This window comes from Homo sapiens, chromosome 12, assembly GCF_000001405.40.
Source record: "Homo sapiens chromosome 12, GRCh38.p14 Primary Assembly".
NCBI classification, from domain to species: Eukaryota; Metazoa; Chordata; class Mammalia; order Primates; family Hominidae; genus Homo; species Homo sapiens.
The window spans coordinates 76,815,007-76,833,404 of NC_000012.12; the positions used below are offsets into that span (position 1 = coordinate 76,815,007).

Sequence of the window (18,398 nt, forward strand, 5' to 3'; positions counted from 1 at the left end):
AGAAAGTTTCATACATTATCCTTGATTGAGTAGTATTATATTCGCTTCTCCTTTTATATATAGATTAGATTTTTCCAAGCAAATTTGGTTAGGAACTTATAATTTAACTGTCTGACTTTTTTTCTTTTTACTTTATCAGGATGTAGATATGATGGATCAGAATGGAATGACGCCTTTAATGTGGGCAGCATATAGAACACATAGGTATGTAATGACTATAAAAAACTTATTTAGGCCATTTCAGCATAATACAATATGAAGTAAGAGAGAGGAAAAAGCAGTTAATACTATACTCACTAATATTTACAGTTTTTATTATGACTATAGTATATATAAATTACCATTTTGGATGTTCTGGTATCTCTGTGCTGTCTCTCCCTCACTGATTAGAGCTTCCTTAATCTGTTTCTCTTTTAACAATATCTAAGAAAAGAAGTTATCTTTTTTTAAAAATTAATTAATTTTTTCATGTGATTTACATATTGACAAATTTATTAATTAGTAAGTTGTCTTAGATCACTTTTGGAAGACTCCAAATTTAAATTTTAAAAAGTGTTATTCTTGAATTGTATAAGTATTAATGCCATTTCTAGGTCAAAAATAGAAAATATCAGGACCAAGTTGCTTATCCCCTGAAACTATTAATATATTATTTTATATGGTGTCATACATACTTAATACTTCATATTAGAATATTGTCTCATTATTGATTTTAAAGTTGTTGAGTAGGTTAGAAGTGTTCCAAAATGGAATGCTACTGTAAGCATAATCAGTTTAGTATTTGTAATGATTTCTATAATTGAAATTAGGGTTGTTGTTGTTGTTTGTTTTTTTTTTTTTTCCTTTTCAGTGTGGATCCAACTAGATTGCTTTTAACATTCAATGTTTCAGTTAACCTTGGTGACAAGTATCACAAAAACACTGCTCTGCATTGGGCAGTGCTAGCAGGGAATACCACAGTCATTAGCCTTCTTCTGGAAGCTGGAGCTAATGTTGATGCCCAGAATATCAAGGTAAAAATATTCTATATTGATAATACTGTATGAAATGTGGCTAATATGTGAATTCTGTAATAAAACAAGTTTTTCATAGACTGTCAGAGTTGAAAGAAACTTCTTCAATACAGGTTTACAGTTAAACCACATTATGCATAATACATTTTAATAATTCTTTGACTTGGTTATTTTATTGTCTTATTTTTTTAAAGATCAAGAGATTTAAATTTGATAAATGCCTTTATGGTGTTGATAGGAGGACCCCCACCCCACCATGGTGGACTAATCCAGGAAAAGTTACAACATTATTTAAGAGCCAAGCACAATTAACATTTGCACTCTAAACATTTAGAAATCAGTAAACATTTTATTAATACATGCAATAAGATTCTATTGCTAGTCTCAAAATTTTGGTTATTTCTTTTCATTTTTAAAGCCTCAGGATCCACCATGTCTTTCAGCAACGAACTCGTTCTGCGAAATTACTTTAAACATCATCTTTTAATCATATGCATTCATAAGTAACTATACCCATTGACAAATGTTCTTTAATTTTGGCTATAATTTATAGTATTTTCTGTGTTATGTTTCTTAAATTTCTAAGGGATATGTGCTAATTAAATATGAAGGGGGTTCAGGACACATACTAATCTGAAATGGCCAATCAAAAAGTAGGTTATCTCCTGCTGGATCAGGGTATCTCTTTATGTTCCAAGGAATAGTTTGTTCTTCCTTGATTCAGTTACTTTAAGAGGAGAAGGATAAACTTCTAAAATAAAATAGTTTAGGCTAGTTTTATGGAGCATAATTTGTTAAGCTTATCAATTTTTAGAAATAGTCTAATTACAAACATTTAGTTAAAAGTAAATTAATATTGGAAACCATAAGAGATTGATAAAATCATGTATATTTTTCTTTCTTCTAAAAAAATTTCAAGTCTTCTTGTCCCTAACAAAAGTGATCAGAATAGTTCCATATCTGCCACTAAACATAGGGAAAGAAGAAAGTCAGCATATCATAGTGCCTGATAAGCGATGGGCACTCTAGGTATTTACTGACTGAGTAAATGAAGATTTATGTAGTCTTGAGTTTTACCTAAGGTAGTTTTCATGACTGCTGGGATACCTCTGCCACTTCAGAAATTATAGAGAGAAATGTTTGCTTTTTGAATGTTTTTAAATAGGATGCTCTTAAAAGTTTATAACACTGGAATGAGTAAATTGGCTGATCCCAGGTCTGAAGGTTAAGAAAAGAGAAGTTTGACTAAACCTGATCAATATACTTAAAAGAAAATTATGTGAGATTACCTCATGTTTTTTTATCTGAATTCAGAGTGTTACTACTTTTTTTTATCTTTGCTACCAGACAGCCATTCCTAAGGTGATCATGCACGAGGAATACATTTAAAGATACTTAGTATTATTGAAAAAACAGGATTAATTTTAGTTTGGCAAATAGTAAGACTCTGTAGACCTTCTGCCAATAGCCATATCAGTATACTGAAATTATAGTAATACCAAAGAATTATGACAGTAAGATGACTACACAGTTCTGGAGTTTGAAACTAGTAGTGTGTATTTTTAGAGCTTTTAAAAGTTTATTTTCTGTTCATATAAAATTAGGTTAAATTCAGTCACAGTCATTGGGATTTGAGGTATGTTTTTAAATTCAATGTCTTTTCAAGTAAATAATGAAGACTTGTACTTCTCATTAGCCATTGCGTAAACTTTTAAATTACTCTTAGTAAAAGGAATAATCTACAGCAAATTTCAACAGAAAGTTAATGATAAGAGTAGAGATATTTAAAATTATTTAAATGATTTTGAACTTTGTATTTTTAATGTTTTATAGGTTCAGGCACAAGAATTATTTGGTGCCAAGAAACAATGAAATAGAATGTAACTTCCTTAACTATTATTGTAGTTCATGCGAATACTTTCCAGAGTCTACAGTGTCTATAATTGAGCTAATTATTGTACCTTAGAGCTTTTAAATTCATTTTTTTCCAGTTATTTTCTTTTTATTAATGTTTTAACTTTATCTGTCACATGTAATAGAGGTTGGCTATTGACAAAAAATTTTTCTCATGTAATTCCCTGGTAGCTTCTGGAGTGATGGTACTTCTAAAGAAAATAAAGTCTAAGGAATTATTGTATTTGCTCAGGGAACATTTATACTTTCAGGGGAAAAATTACCTGTATCTACACTGGTGACAAAGTAGATTTTTGTTTTAAAATGCACTTTATATGTAATTAAAAAGATGAAATGAGTATCAAATGCCTTTTTTAAAAATGGGGATCTGCCTCAGAGGCATTCCCAACATACTTAAGTCTTATCACCTTCTAATAGAAACCATGTATTTATTCGTTCAGCAAATTCTTATTCAATGGTGGGTGGTGGGGAGTCACATTGTTCAAGACAGATAAGGTCTCTATTCTTTCAGAATGTACATTCTGTTGAGGAAACAGCCAGTAAGTGAATAATAATAAAAGGCAAATGTGATAGAATGACTGGGATGGAAGGACCACATCCAGTGAGAGTGATTTGGGAATGCCTCTGAGGAGATGACATTTGCTTTCAGAATTACGTAATGAGAAGGGATCAGTTATACAGAGACATGTGGGAAAAAATTTTCCTTGTAGAGGAACATGCAAGTGCACGGTCCTAAACAGGAGTAAGATTGCAGTATTTGAGGTGCAGAAATAAGGACAGTGTGGCCAGAGTACAGTGAGCAAGATGGTGAAGTCACTTGAGAAACACAGGTGCTGTATCATGCAATGCGATAATAAAGAGCTTTAATTGTATTCTCAGTCATGGGAAACATTTGAAAGGATTTATGTAGGCTGATTATATGATCTGCTTTTTGTTTTAAATATTTTTTAAACATTACTTTGGTTGATGTATGGAGAATGCATTGAAGAGTTAAGAAAATGGAAAAGATGGAGATCAGTTAGGCTGTTGCAATAAATCAGACAAGTGATAATGTTAGCTTAGCCTAGGATCAGAGGAGTAGAGGTAGAGAGAAATGACTGGATTTGGAGAGGATATTTTAAAGTAGAAATAAGAAGGTAGATTAGGTGTGAGGATAAAAGAAACCATCGTTGATGACTTAGGTTTTGTTTTGGGTAACTGAGCGTCTTGTGATATCATATGTTGAGATTGTGAAGACTGAAGAAGGACTTTTTGGGATGAAGGTGATAGGAATTGGTTCTGTTTGGTAATATTTAATTTGAAGTGGTGTCTTAGCCGTGTGAACTATTAAGCTAATTAAGTAAACTTAAATTGCTGCCAATTTTGAAAAGGAAACATTTATTTTAAAAAAATACCTAGAATATTTGTCCAGGAATCTAACCAAATTTATTTATACCTATGCTTTTTCCATTTTTAAGTCTTAAGAAAGAATCTTGTTGATAATAGTGGATTGTAACGATAAGATGCAGCCTGCAAATCTGGCTATGGCTTTAATAGCTATAAAAAGTTATATTTTTCAAAGAATATGAAAAATTACGCTTTGTGTTATAATAATTCTATAAGATCCCCTTTCCCTAAAATACCTATTTTCTATATATGATTAAGTGTCTTAGAAATCTTTCTTTATATTAACTAGAGATTTACCTTCACATATTAGTTACTCAGTTCTTTTCATGTATAAACAAACGTTCCTTTATCAAAACAAGATAGAACTTATTTTAAAGACAATTTATACTAAATGAGGCCGGGCACTGTGGCTCATGCCTGTAATCCCAGCACTTTGGGAGGCTGAGGCAGGCGGATCACCTGAGGTCAGGAGTTCGAGACCAGCCTCAACATGGAGAAACCCTGTCTCTACTAAAAATACAAAATTAGCCGGGCGTGGTGGTACATGTCTGTAATCCCAGCTACTCGGGAGGCTGAGGCAGGAGAATTGCTTGAACCTGAGAGGTGGAGGTTGCAGTGAGCCAAGATCGTGCCATTGCACTCAAGCCTGGGCAACAAGAGTGAAACTATGTCTTAAAAAAAAAAAAAAAAAAAAGACAATTTATACTAAATGATAGGTAACTTTAAAATTGCTGTTTTCATCTCTGGAAGGATCAGGAATAGCTGTATACCCTAGGTTTTTTTATCTGGAGTCCCCCCAGTAGACTTTGGTTGGAGGAGGTGTGGGTCCATGGACCCCTGAAATTGTTGAAAAAAAGTTACTTGTATCAGCATTCTTCTGGGAGGAAGAAAAGTGGCTGTCATCAGAAAAGACTCAAAAGAATTTAAGAACCAAGCCCCTAGATAATAGCTACATGAAATAGCTTTAAATCTCTTCTTGTAAAGCAACAACAGGGGAAACAAATGATTTGGAATACTAAGAATAAAAAACAAAACACAATTATGGCCTACCCAGTAATCCCTTTTGTGGTAGTATCTCATTTGTGATTAAAAAAATAATAATCCTTAGCATATGTTTTTGGTTATACTGATAAATTTAGATGAATTGAGTTTGGAAGGAACAGTTAATCTCTGAGTGCTACACAAGCAGTTATAATCTTTTCTTTCTAAAATTATCAAAGGGCATAGTTTTTAGCTTGTACAGAATATAAAATTACTGAGCTCTGTTCATTAATGTATTGAAAGACCTCTTGAAATGAGGTAAGAAACTGTTTTTAGAAAATAGTTTTGTATTACCTCTTAAATACCTGACCTAAATGGTCACCAAGGAAAAATTTTTTTAAAATTTGACGATGAAATTCAACCTTACGTAGGTGAAATGTTGAGTGATCTTACCCCCAACCATAATGTTTATCTGACCAAAACCTTTGAATGATTTCTTTTATTAACAGTTACATAGTCTATAATTACTCCATGTAGATTCTTGCTGTTGTTGCTATTGTTAATATTATTATTTTGGCTGAGACATGGAGTGATCAAATAGATATAGACTTAACTCAGAACCCTGGTTTTAATATACTTCTTTAAATGAATTGAGTGTTTATTTTACCAGCTGAATAAAAGAACTATACAAAAATAGTTAGATGACTGGAGGAGTAGTTGAAAGATATTTTAAAGCTCCCTCAATCTTTTTGTCTAGGCAATCCTTAGGTGTCACATGGCCCTCTAGTGGAAGGGATGCTCAGCTGGACCGAGGCAACTGCAGGATATTCCCGGGGAGTTGTTACCCAAGGGATTGCTTTTATTCAGGTAATCTTTATAGTTTGGATTAATTAGCTGGTTCTGACAACTTAGGTGATGGAATTTTGGAATAGGTAAGGCAATATTTTAAAGTAAATATCCCTATTTGTGGAAGACTCCTAGATTAGCCCATTTCTTATTAAATACCATTGATCTTTATATTAAAGGATTGGTTGGGCTTTTTGTTGTTTTGTAATAGTTGTTGCTGTTGGTGGCAGTGGTGTGTTTTATTTTGTTGTTTATTTTTATTTTATAATATTAAATAAACTATACTTAATAAGTAATCATCCCTCATAAATAAGGCACCCCAAGGCTCTTTATTGCTTTATTCTTTTTGACCTTGTTTTTGGAAATAAAATTTCAGTGGTTTTACTTTTTAAAAGTAATTTTGAATATTCATCTTTACATTCTTGAAACTTTGGTAAGCATTTAAAGTTTTGCTTTTCTATTTGAAGAAGTAGATAAATAGTGGAACACATTAAATAAATGGAAATGTAGGTGTCTGACTAATTTGCAAAAGGAGAAATAAGATTTTAAATTTTAAATTAGTTAAGGCAAAAAGAAGCATAGACCTAAAATTGGGAATGCTTATTTGTTTCTTACTTTGATACATTTTATTCCTATCATGTAAATTCCCTGGCATTCTTTTTCTTAGGATTAAAGGGAGATACAAATTCATAACTTGAATTTGCTATTTTTTAAAATCATTTCTCGTTTACTTTGGAAACTTCTGGGTGGGTGAATGAATATAAATCAAGAATGCCAGTACAATAGTGGTAGAAGTAGAGACTGACTTTTCCTTTTCTTTCCTATTCTCTTCTGAAGACTCCTATCATTGTTGAAATAAAACTGAGAGATTTCTGGCAACTTGATATTATAGCAAGGTGTTTTGTAGCAATAACTATTACTAATGAAATTTTTAAAGAATATGAAATAACTGATAAACTTAGTGATAGCCTCTGATCCAGCAGGTACTAAAATACCTACTTTTTGATTTGCTCTCTAATATGTCAAAATACAGGCAAAAATAAAATCTACGGAATATGATGAGAAAATACATTTTGTGATTATTCTTTGGGAAAGCGTAATAAGAAACATGTAATGATGCAGGTGTTTTTAGTAATTTACACAATGTCAAAACAACGTTAATAGGGCAGTAAATTAATTTTTATAGAAGTTCTTTAAAGGTAACTAAGATAGCCTGCTTTTAAACTTTTAATAGGAATTTCTTCTGTTTATATTATCAGGGCGAATCAGCGCTTGATTTGGCAAAACAGAGAAAAAATGTGTGGATGATCAACCACTTACAAGAGGCAAGGCAAGCAAAAGGATATGACAATCCGTCCTTCCTTAGAAAGCTGAAAGCTGATAAGGTAAACTCATAACTGAAGATTTTTTTTTTTTTTTTTTTTTGAGACGGAGTTTCGCTCTTGTTGCCCAGGCTGGAGTGCAGTGGCGAGATTTTGGCTCACTGCAATCCCTGCCTCTCGGTTTAAAGTGATTCTTGTGCCTCAGCCTCCTGAGTAGCTGGGATTACAGGTGCCCATCACCATGCCCAGCTAATATTTGTATTTTTTTTTAGTACAGATGGGGTTTCACCGTGTTGGCCATGGTGACTTCAGATGACTTCACCTGACTTCAGGTGATACTCCCACCTCGGCCTCCCAAAGTGCTGGGAATACAGGCATGAGCCACCGCGCCCAGCTGAAGATTTTCGATATATAATTTTTTAAGTAGGATTCTTAGGAACACTTACTTAGCACGAGTATTTACAGCCTTTAATTTTGGCATTTCTCAATGTAATTTTTAAAATATTATTATACTCAGAATAAATGAAGGTAAATAACAAAGTTTCCAAGGGCTCTTACCTACGTGGTTGGTGACCTTTTGGGGCTAATAATTAAGAAGGATGGGTATATATGAAATTATTTAAATCTCCATCGGCTACTCGTGTACATTTTGGTTCATTGATTCAACTGGCCTTTGTTAAGTAATAGATAAAAATAAAGGTTTTTCTAGTGAATGCTTGTTTGTTAGTATGATAATAAATTGTGAAATAGCTTAGTTCTAATACATATCTTTTTAAACTACTCACAACTCCAGCTCTAACTTGAGCTTTGCATTCTTTTGTGATATGTTGTATACCTTTTTTCAGAGAGCTTATATTCTTGACCTTTCTATGGAAAACTCATTTTAGATCATCCATATACCTTCAGTTTTAAATTGTATGACTGTTGGCTCAGTTGCCTGATTATATGATACTAAAACTTAGAATATTTTCCCCCAGAGAGGGGGTCTAGGTTCTGCACAATCTTATTTCCCACAAAAAAGAAGTTAATTGCCGTAGAGTTTCTTTATGTACCTAAATAATTGTCAAGATGTCTGCTAACTTGTCAGTAATCACAACTTGAGTAGCATTAAGTTTTGAGTACCATCTTTTGTATATCGTGTTTAGGCTGTTCTAGTGGCAATGTTGATTATTTAAAGTTAATATTGATCTATCTGTTACCAAGGCAAAAAGACAAATTTAGGATAAAGAGAAGCAGTCTTGAAAGCAGTGCCTCCTTTATTTATAGGAGTTTGGACTTCTTTAATCAGTTGAAAAGTCCCCTGGTCCGTTACTTAGAAGAATTAGATTCATAGTTTATAAACTTGGCTGTTTTCAGCCCTATAAGCTGAGACTAATGAACAATTTTTGCATGCCATGTTAACTCTTCTGTTTAATTATTAGATATGATATAGAAAATGATTTATTTTGTGTTGCTCAGTTTTCTAGGATTTAGAGCAGTTTTGCTCAACAGAGTGAAAAATGGCTGTCTTATGATAATTAGGCTAGTAAAAAAAAATCTTGTGTTACTTTGGAAAATCCCACAATATTGGCACTTTCGTTTTGTTGAATGTGAATATTTTGAAGTTTTATTTTATATATGTATATTCACACACACACATATAGTCATAAATGACTTACAAATTTTAGATGTTGCATTAATATGTAAAGTTACTTATGGCATTATTAAACTATACATCAGGTTTATGTGTTTGGATATGATTTTTTAAAAAGAACTTCATTAAAAGTTTAGTGCAATTTTAACATTTGTATACGATTGTGGTCAGTTCAGAAATGGAGTTTCTTTCCTGTTTTTTTTCATTAGTAGCTTTAAATATATTAAAATTTTTATAAAGGTTCCTTTTAAAGCCTATGATGATTGGGAGAGTGATATTTAAAGGTTGAAAGTAACCATCATATATTTAAAAATTATGATGATTAGGGGACCTGTGAGATTAAGCATCTGTAATTATGTAGACTGTTCTTTCTTTTTCCATGTCACATTGGAAAAGTTTCAGTCATTAACATGTTTTGATTTGCTAGCCTGTGAAGTGTGTTTTATATTTAAAACTAAAAAAGAAAGTAGTGACACCTAAGACTCAATAGTGTTTTATTTTAAAAAGTCATTCCCTTAAGAAAAATAAAAATATCATTCCAAAAGGGGGAAAATATTTTTGAATACTGCTGGTAGACAGATAAAGATGGAATCTTTAGCCAGGCGTGGTGGTGCGCCTATAGTCCCAGCTAGTAGGGAGGCAGAGGCAGGAGGATTGGTTGAGCCCGGAAGGTTGAGGCTGCAGTGAGCCAAGATCATGCCACTGCACTCCAGCCTGGGTGACCGAGTGAGACCTTATCTCCAAAAAAAAAAAAGAAAGGGGGACAATATTTTTAGAAAACAATTTAAAAAATCTTAGATTTTTACTTAGAATATTAAGTAAAAGGATTTTAAATATCTTAGATTTTTTACTTAGAATATTAAGTAAAAGGATTTTAGACAGGCATATTTACGGTTAAATAAATCTTCTTAATAAGTTGGAGGGACATCTTTAAATTAGTATTTAGAGGGGATTTGGGAGTAGGAGGGAAGTTGGCTATAAAAGGGCAATATGAGGAATCCTTTTAAGTAGTGGAAATATTCTGTAGCTGGACTATATCAAGGTTAGTTTCCTGGTTGTGACATGCTACTGTTACCATTGTTGTGATATGCTACTGTGATACGCTAGATGTTACCATTGGGGGACAAAGGATATTTAGGATCTGTCTGTATTATTTATTACAACTGTGTGTGAATCTATAATTATTCCAAAATAAGAAGTTTAATTTAAAAAGAGGCTTCTGAATCTAGGTGGTGGATAGACTTCACTATATAATTCTTTCACATTTACTATATAGTTGAAAATTTTCCTAATATAAGAGAAAATAGATTTCTCACATAGCAGCACATTACCATTATATTTTTATAGTACCATTTTATGTACCCATACACTCTCTGTCTCCTGAGTAGTAAATCTTCTCTAATGTCTTGATATAAAGTTCATACTTATTAGAAAAAAGAATTGGATTAGTTATTTTGCTGCAGCATAAAATTAAAGCCTGAAATTGATGTTTAATTATTACTCTAAGTTAAAATTACACATTTAGTTCAGAAAATGAATTACAGTGGTCAAATTGGGGAAGACATGGTCATTTATATGAAAAAAAAAAATCCCACTTATTTCAGTGGAAGCTGATAGTATGAAAGGGGTGCTAAAAATGTGTAATATAACCTTAGCTTTTAGGAAGATAAATATTCAGTAAGGAAAGCAGTGTTCATACTCTGCTTTGTTAGACCACAGCTGGGGTTTTCTTTTTTCTTTTGGTGTGTGTGACAGGGTTTCATTTTGTTGCCCAGGCTCACGACAGCCTTGACCCTTGACTTCCCTGGGCTCAGGTAATCCTCCCACCTCAGGCTCCCGAGTAGCTGGGATACAGTACAGGTGCGTGCTACCATGCCCAGATAATTTTTGTATTTTTTGTAGAGACATGTTTTTGCCATGTTGCCCAGGCTGCCCTACAACTCTTGGGCTCAAGCGATTCTCTCGTCTAGGCCTCCCAAAGTGTTGGGATTAAAGGCATGAGCCACCATGCCCTGCCTTGAATATCTTACATAGTTTTGTGACCTAAGGTAACTGAACAGAGACTTGATAACTGGCTATAAGTTTGTGAAGGGCTCTTACATGGAAGAGGCAGTAGACTTTCTTTGGTTGCTATAAAGATAAAATTGTGATAGAAGTTACCAGGAGTTATGTAGGTTTTATACTTACAAGTATGGACTTTAACAACCAGACCAGTACAGAAATGAAATGGAAATACCTTTGGAGTATTGAGCACTCTGCCTTGATCTTTGTTCAGAGACACATCTCTTCATTCAGTGAACTCTAGGAGCCTATGGATTGTTTGCTTTTATTCTTTATCTCATTTTAAGATTTTAATATACTATTTATCATTTGAAATGTCTACTCCAGGCAAGCATCTTCAGGTTTCCTTATGTGTTATAATTCTTATACTATTAGTCATTCTAGTTGTCCTTGTCTCCCTGGTTATCAGTGCCCCTGTTAAAAAGGGGTGGTATTTTTCATGAACTGTTTGCTAGCCAGTGTATGTGTTAAGCAGGTAGTACTGTCTTCTATATTTAACCATATAGAACCAACTGCTATAACTTCTGTTCTTATTTTCCACAATTTTAGCAAAGTTATTTAAAATTGTTCATTGCCTGTCTCCAGAAGACAGACACCAGCACCTTGAATAGTACTGATACATAGCATGCAAATTTGAGTGAATGAATTTCACCCGCTGTTGCATGCCTTCACAAAGGTAACAATGATTCAGATTGAGATTACTTGAAACATGCAAAAACTTTTCTAATTTTTTGTTTCTATACAGGAATTTCGGCAGAAAGTAATGTTAGGAACTCCTTTCCTAGTTATTTGGCTGGTTGGGTTTATAGCAGACCTAAATATTGATTCTTGGCTCATTAAAGGGCTAATGTATGGTGGTGTTTGGGCTACAGTACAGTTTCTTTCAAAGTAAGTGTGTTGTTTTTAACTATATTTTAAACTGTACATGAAATAATATAATTTGTACTCTTGTATAAAATTAATGTTTGTATGTTGTACATTTGATCTTAATTTATTTAAATAATTTAGACATCTGTATGTGAAATATGAGATTTTTTAAACATTGTTATGTTATTAAAATGATTCAGAGGCACTTTAATGATAAAAGCTAGCATATAATTTTTAACACTAAAACATAGTTTGAGAAATATTTGAAATATTTCAGTAAAAGTGAATTTGAGTCTGTTGAACTCTAACATACATATTGTTAATTTCCAGGTAATTACAATACTTGAGCTCGCCTTTCTATAGGAATTATATTTTCCTGTAGAAAATAAGGCATAAACAATAAGCAAGGAAGAGGTTTTATTTCTAGTAGCAAGGTAAAGTCTAAGCATAGTTGTGAAGTCGGCTGAGTTTTTAAGATTATTTTCTCCCTCTTTTTTCTTTAAACATCATGATCATTCCGTTTTCTTCTTATTCTTAAGTCTCATTGCTCTAAAGTTACCTATCCAACAAACCTAGACAGGTGTGTGATCCAGAATTTCCCATCTAATTTCCAGTCCTTTAGTATCTTATTTTCACTTGCATTTCAGAAAAGAATTCTGAAAATAATTCACACAGAGATGAGAATGACTAGTATTATAATATGCTGAGTGGCTTAAATCTAGTTAGTGAATCTCATTTTAGTATTTCTAGAGTCTCCAAGGGGTATAAATAGGAAGTCACTAAGACCTCCTGCCTATATGGATAGTTGATTCTGTTCATGTTTAATAAATGGATTAATGTTTGTTTTTCCCCAATTTTAAGTATTAAAAACACAACTCTTCAGTTTCACTAAGTTGGCCAGTTCATTCTACTTGAAAAGATGTGCTCCAACTTTTGCTGGAGTGTTATAGGTAAGGAGAAATAATGATGAAACAGAGAAAAATGTGAGGCTTGGTTTGGATTCATTTGTCAAAATTTTGACACATCTTTGGTGAATAGTATGCTGGATGATAGCTACTATATATACTAAAGTCAGTTATTGACTTTAAGAGAATAGGAGTGCGCTAAAATTCTGAAACTGAAAAGTATATGGAATGTAATTTAAATTTGGGGGGAATTAAAAGGAACTTCAGAATCTTGCTGAGTCTTTCAGCTGTGAACTAATTTTTATTGATTACTATGAAAAATTGAGCATCCTGAACTCTGGATTCTGGTGAAACCAATGCTTACTATACAAAATGTGTGTCATTTTCATTTAAATAAATACTCATTTTTACAATGAAATATAGAGCTCATATTTTATAAAACTTGTGTTTTACAGATCCTTTTTCGATCATTCAATGCATAGTGCATTGCCCCTTGGGATATATTTGGCAACCAAATTCTGGATGTATGTGACGTGGTTCTTCTGGTTTTGGAATGATATCCTTTGGTTATAAAGATCATACCAAAAACAAATTTTGTTTGTTATTTGAATAGATGTTTAATAATTTGACATTAGGACTGATCTACTCATTCATAATACATTAAAATAGTGTTCCTAGAAAATTTAGTAAACTAATATAAGTAATGTTTTTAAATATTTAATAGGTTGCTTTTGAAAGCTGTCTTTAATAACAGCATATAAATAATAGTAGCTATCATTTATTGAGTGTTTAAAAGGCATTTTTTGACTACTCATTTAATCCACATTTCATAAATTAGTATTGTTATCCCCCTTTTCCCCCTTTTTGTTCCATATTTTTTATTTTTATAGATTCAGGGGTTACATGTGAAGGTTTGTTGTAGGGATATATTGTGTAATGGAGAAAAGAACAAGCATCCTCATTTCAAAAAATGGGTAAAGGACACAGACACAGACAGACATTTCTCCAAGGACATACAAGTGGCCAAACGTGAAAAAATGTTGGACATCACTAATCATCAGAGAAATGCAAATTAAAACTACAATTTCACACCAGTCAGAATAGCTATTTTTAAAAGGTCAAAAAGCAATAAGATGTCGAGGATGCAGAGAAAAAGGAACGCTGTTGGTGGGAATGTAAATGAGTACAACCTCTATGGAAAACAGTATGGCGATTTCTCAAAAAACTAAAGATAGAACTAATGGCTGGGCGCTGCGTCTCACACCTGTAATTTCAGCACTTTGGGAGGTCGAGGTGAGTGGATCACGAGGTCAGGAGTTTGAACCAAGACTGGCCAATATGGTGAAACCCCATCTCTACTAAAAATACAAAAATTAGCCAGGTGTGGTGGCACGTGCCTGTATTCCCAGCTACTCGGGAGGCTGAGGCAGTAGAATTGTTTTAACCCGAGAGGCGGAGGTTGCAGTGAGCTGAGATGCACCATTGCACTCCAGCCTGGGTGACAGAGTGAGACTATGTCTCAAAAAAAAAAAAAAAAAAAAAAAAAAAAAGAACTACCATTTGACTCAGCCATCTCCATTTTATACTTGAGAAAAATTTAGGCTTAATGAGTCTTAGTCTCTAATCAAGTTGGGATTGAAACTTGTATTTTTCTAACTAAGCATATTTTAAGCCTTTCTACCAAATGGTGATTTTTATGTTTTGGTATCAAACTATTTTCGCTAAATATTTTTTTAATACCACTACTTATTTTGTTGTGGTAAATAAGAGTTAATCTTCTCACCTCTTTTGCCTTCATGAAAAGGTGTTTCATCTCTTTTGCCTTCATGAAAAGCATGTAATGCTGTATTTTCACATATTTGCTAACTTGAGCAAATTAACAGTGTAGTATACTTACCCTATTTAAACAAAATTTTAATTTTTTTAACCTGTTCCCCAGGTTGGAGTGCAGTGGCACAATCATGGCTCACTGCAGCTTGAACTCCTGGGCTCCAGCAATCCGTCTGCCTGAGCCTCCCAAGCAGCTGGGACTACAGGCGTGCACCACCACGACTGGCTAATATACTTTTTAAAACTAATATAATTGAAATTGTAACTGTGCCTGTGTGCCAATAAAGACAGCAAGCCAATGCCAATTTTTGATATTTTACATAGAAAAAGTTCAGTCAGCAAGTTAGACTGATTTATTGTAATAAAGGAACATGTTTCATAAGTGTTAAATATTTTTCAAAACATTACAAAAAGTATATGATATGTTTTAAATGATATGCAGCTTTTGGTGACTTGTAACTGTTCTAAACAATTTTAGTTATTAATACCTGGTTTTGTTTCACAGCCTTGCATATCATAATATTGTATTCTTTTTATTAAGTCCCCTTGTGTTTTAGTTGAAACACAAAATGTGCTTATTTTATTTTTGAGACCTAAGGCACAGAATTGTAACTACACTTTTAATTCTTAATATTTTTACTGCATTATGTAATTTCAGAAAGTATAGTACCTTTAAATATTTTCTTAGTTTAAGTATCTATTGAAATTCTTCCATATGGCAGTTTTCACTAACAAATTCTAGCCTTTTATTATACTTTGACTTAAAAATTGTTCCTCAAGGATTTATTAAGCATTAGAATTGCCATATTGGAACACTTAGTATGAGTAAAACAGATCTGTTGGTTTTCATTACCTCATCTATTTTAAGCTTACAATAAGCATTGACCTCTGAAATGACTTTAGTATTCCAGACATATTTTCTAACTTTGTGTTTCCTAAATTGGACATTAAAGTTTATGTTTGAGGAAAAAACTCAGAATCAGATCTCAAAATGTTAAACTGTTTCTGTACTCCTATAATGTGTAAGTGGCAAGAAGCAGGAAAATCAGTAACTTACCAAATAATGAAAAATTAATGCTAGAGAGCATTATATAGTAAAATTTCATTTTTTTCCTTTATTCAGAGTTAGTATAAAATAGCTAAAGCTAGGGAAATAGTATAAAATAGCTAAAACTGGGAATTGAAAATAAGAGAGGCAAATTTTGAAGGAAAGACCAGAACAATCAAGTCTATTTAGCTTACCCTATTTGAATACTTCTGCCTTTAAAATAGATTGATATAGTTTTCATTTTGTAAATACATTGAATAAGTTGCATGTAAATTTTTCAAATAAAAATTGCAGTATGAGAATACCAAGTTTTATTCTTACGTGTCTGTAAAGGGGAGATAATAGTAGCACTGTCTCCAAGTTCTTGAGAAAATAAACACCTGAGGACATACCTGACATGTAAAAAGTGCTAAATAAGTGCACCTTATCATTTCTGATGACTTCTAAAATCTAAGTTTATAGCCAAATTGATTTTAAATATGGATTCACAATTTTTTTTTGTTTTTATTGTCTGTTTTTGTGTTGGGTTTTGTTTTGTTTTGTTTTGTTTTATTTTGAGATGGAGTCTTGCACTGTCCACCAGGCTAGAGTGCAATGGCATGATCTTGGCTCACTGCAACCTCTGCCTTCCAGGTTCACATGATTCTCCTGCCTCAGCCTCCCGAGTAGCTGGGATTATAGGTGCACACCACCATACCTGGTTAATTTCTTAAATTTTTAGTAGAGACGGGGTTTCACTATGTTGGCCAGACTGGTCTTGAACTCCTGACCTGGTGATCCGCCCGCCTCGGTCTTCCAAAGTGCTGGGATTACAGGCGTGAGCCACTGTGCCTGGCCTGTGGTTTTTTTTGAGACATCGTCTCACTGTGTCACACCCAGACTGGAGTGCAGTGGCACAATCATGGCTCACTGCTGCCTCAACCTCCCAGGCTCAGGTGATCCTCCCACCTCAGCCTCCTGAGAAGCTAGGACTACAGGCACAAGCCACCATGCCTGGCTAATTTGCGTATTTTTGTAGAGACTGAGTTTTGCCATGTTGCCCAGGCTAGTCTCAAACTCCTGGGCTCAAGTGGTTCTCTTGCCTCAGCCTCCCAAAGTGCTGGGATTACAAGTGTGAGCCCATGCCTAGCTCACAGTTTGTTTGAACATTTGTGTAGGTGTAAATGATACTCATGGAATATGTGATGAAATCACTAATTAATTTAAATCCCAATTATGCGAGGAAAACTGTATACTTCATGTTATAGAAGAGCTGTATCTCTAGGCCCTCTACGATTTTGGAACTATGTTTTTCTCCCAGTTTTATAAAGCCAGTAAGAGAAGCTTAAGAAACCTTTAGGAAGGGAACAGAAAAGAACACAGAGTAGGTTATAATGGAGGCACAAAGGATGTTAGACAGGAAATAGCCACAAGGCTTATAATATATGGTGCTGATTCAGGTACCTTAAGATAAAATAGCAGTTGTCCAGGATCACTTCTGATGACCTCAGGCTCCTTTCTGTTGCTTTTACCACTTTTCTTGTGCAACTCATGGCTACATATGTAATTAAAACTGATTAGACTAGTTTTGAAAACTAGAATTATAGTTGTTTTTCATTATTCACAGTAGTTCTGTGAAGTTGCTGCAAGCACTGAATTAGAAAATACTGAACCATTGTTCCTAAGAGTAATACAGAGTTAGGTTCCTATGTGGCTCTGGTCACAACAGTATTGATCATCAGTTGATCACTACATAACCTTGTTTACATGTGTTTCTGTTTTAAAAAACTTTATTTAATATGTATTGTTGATTCATTAATATTGAACTTATGGCCAACAGCACTATAGCTCATTCCTGAATGAAGCTTATCTAACACATGTATTTTTTCTGTAAAGCACATCACAGCCTCCTTGTGCTTAAGAGCGTGATAGCACTTCAGCACTGTGCTTAAGGGCCCTTTTAAACGGCAAAATCTACACAAAAGCACAACAGCGTGGCCCTAAATAGACCATGTAAAGGACACTTGTTTATAGTTTGAGAACTAAAACAAGACAGAATGTTGCTTTGCTCAGCCTCAGCTGAGAATGTGCACATTTGGTGACTCAAATTTTTCACTGTTTTGTTCATGCCCGTTGAATTCATGGCACTTTTTCAGTGCCATGAATATTGATTTTGGTGTTACAAATAAATTTTATCATGGAGGTGTGAGGATCAACTGTATAAACTTTATTTTGGTTTCCTACATAATCTGATACCCAGCTTATTAAGTTACTTAATAAGTTTTTATGGTGATAATGAATTTTACATTGATGTAAACTGTTTGTTCTAGTAAGTTCTTACTGTTCCATTCTTTGAATAATTATTTCCCCATAAAACACCTTATGTTTATTTGGTGCTTTTTGGTTTATAGTTTTTCAGATATATCATTTTACTTGGTTTTCCAAATAATTATTTGATTTTTTTAAAAAACTATACAAATCTTAATACCATTTTCTAACTGATGGAAAGACTGAGGCTCTGAGAAGTTGTTATGTCTTGCTCAAAGTCACATAGGTGGGAAATTATTAAGAGTTTGGTGTTGGATTCAGCTTTCTGGCCTGATTCAGTGTATC

General features: G+C 33.4%; 1 protein-coding gene across 2 annotated transcripts in view; it reads left to right on the forward strand.

The window, feature by feature from the left end:
• Window positions 1-18,398, forward strand: part of ZDHHC17 (zDHHC palmitoyltransferase 17) — an 89,587-nt gene that overhangs the window by 50,892 nt on the left and 20,297 nt on the right. For both annotated transcript variants that reach the window (NM_015336.4, NM_001359626.1), the window contains exons 6-10: window positions 140-204; window positions 851-1,013; window positions 7,400-7,525; window positions 11,902-12,044; window positions 13,384-13,484. In NM_015336.4, coding sequence (NP_056151.2) covers window positions 140-204; window positions 851-1,013; window positions 7,400-7,525; window positions 11,902-12,044; window positions 13,384-13,484 — 598 coding nt within the window. The remainder of the gene's footprint in view (window positions 1-139; window positions 205-850; window positions 1,014-7,399; window positions 7,526-11,901; window positions 12,045-13,383; window positions 13,485-18,398) is intronic.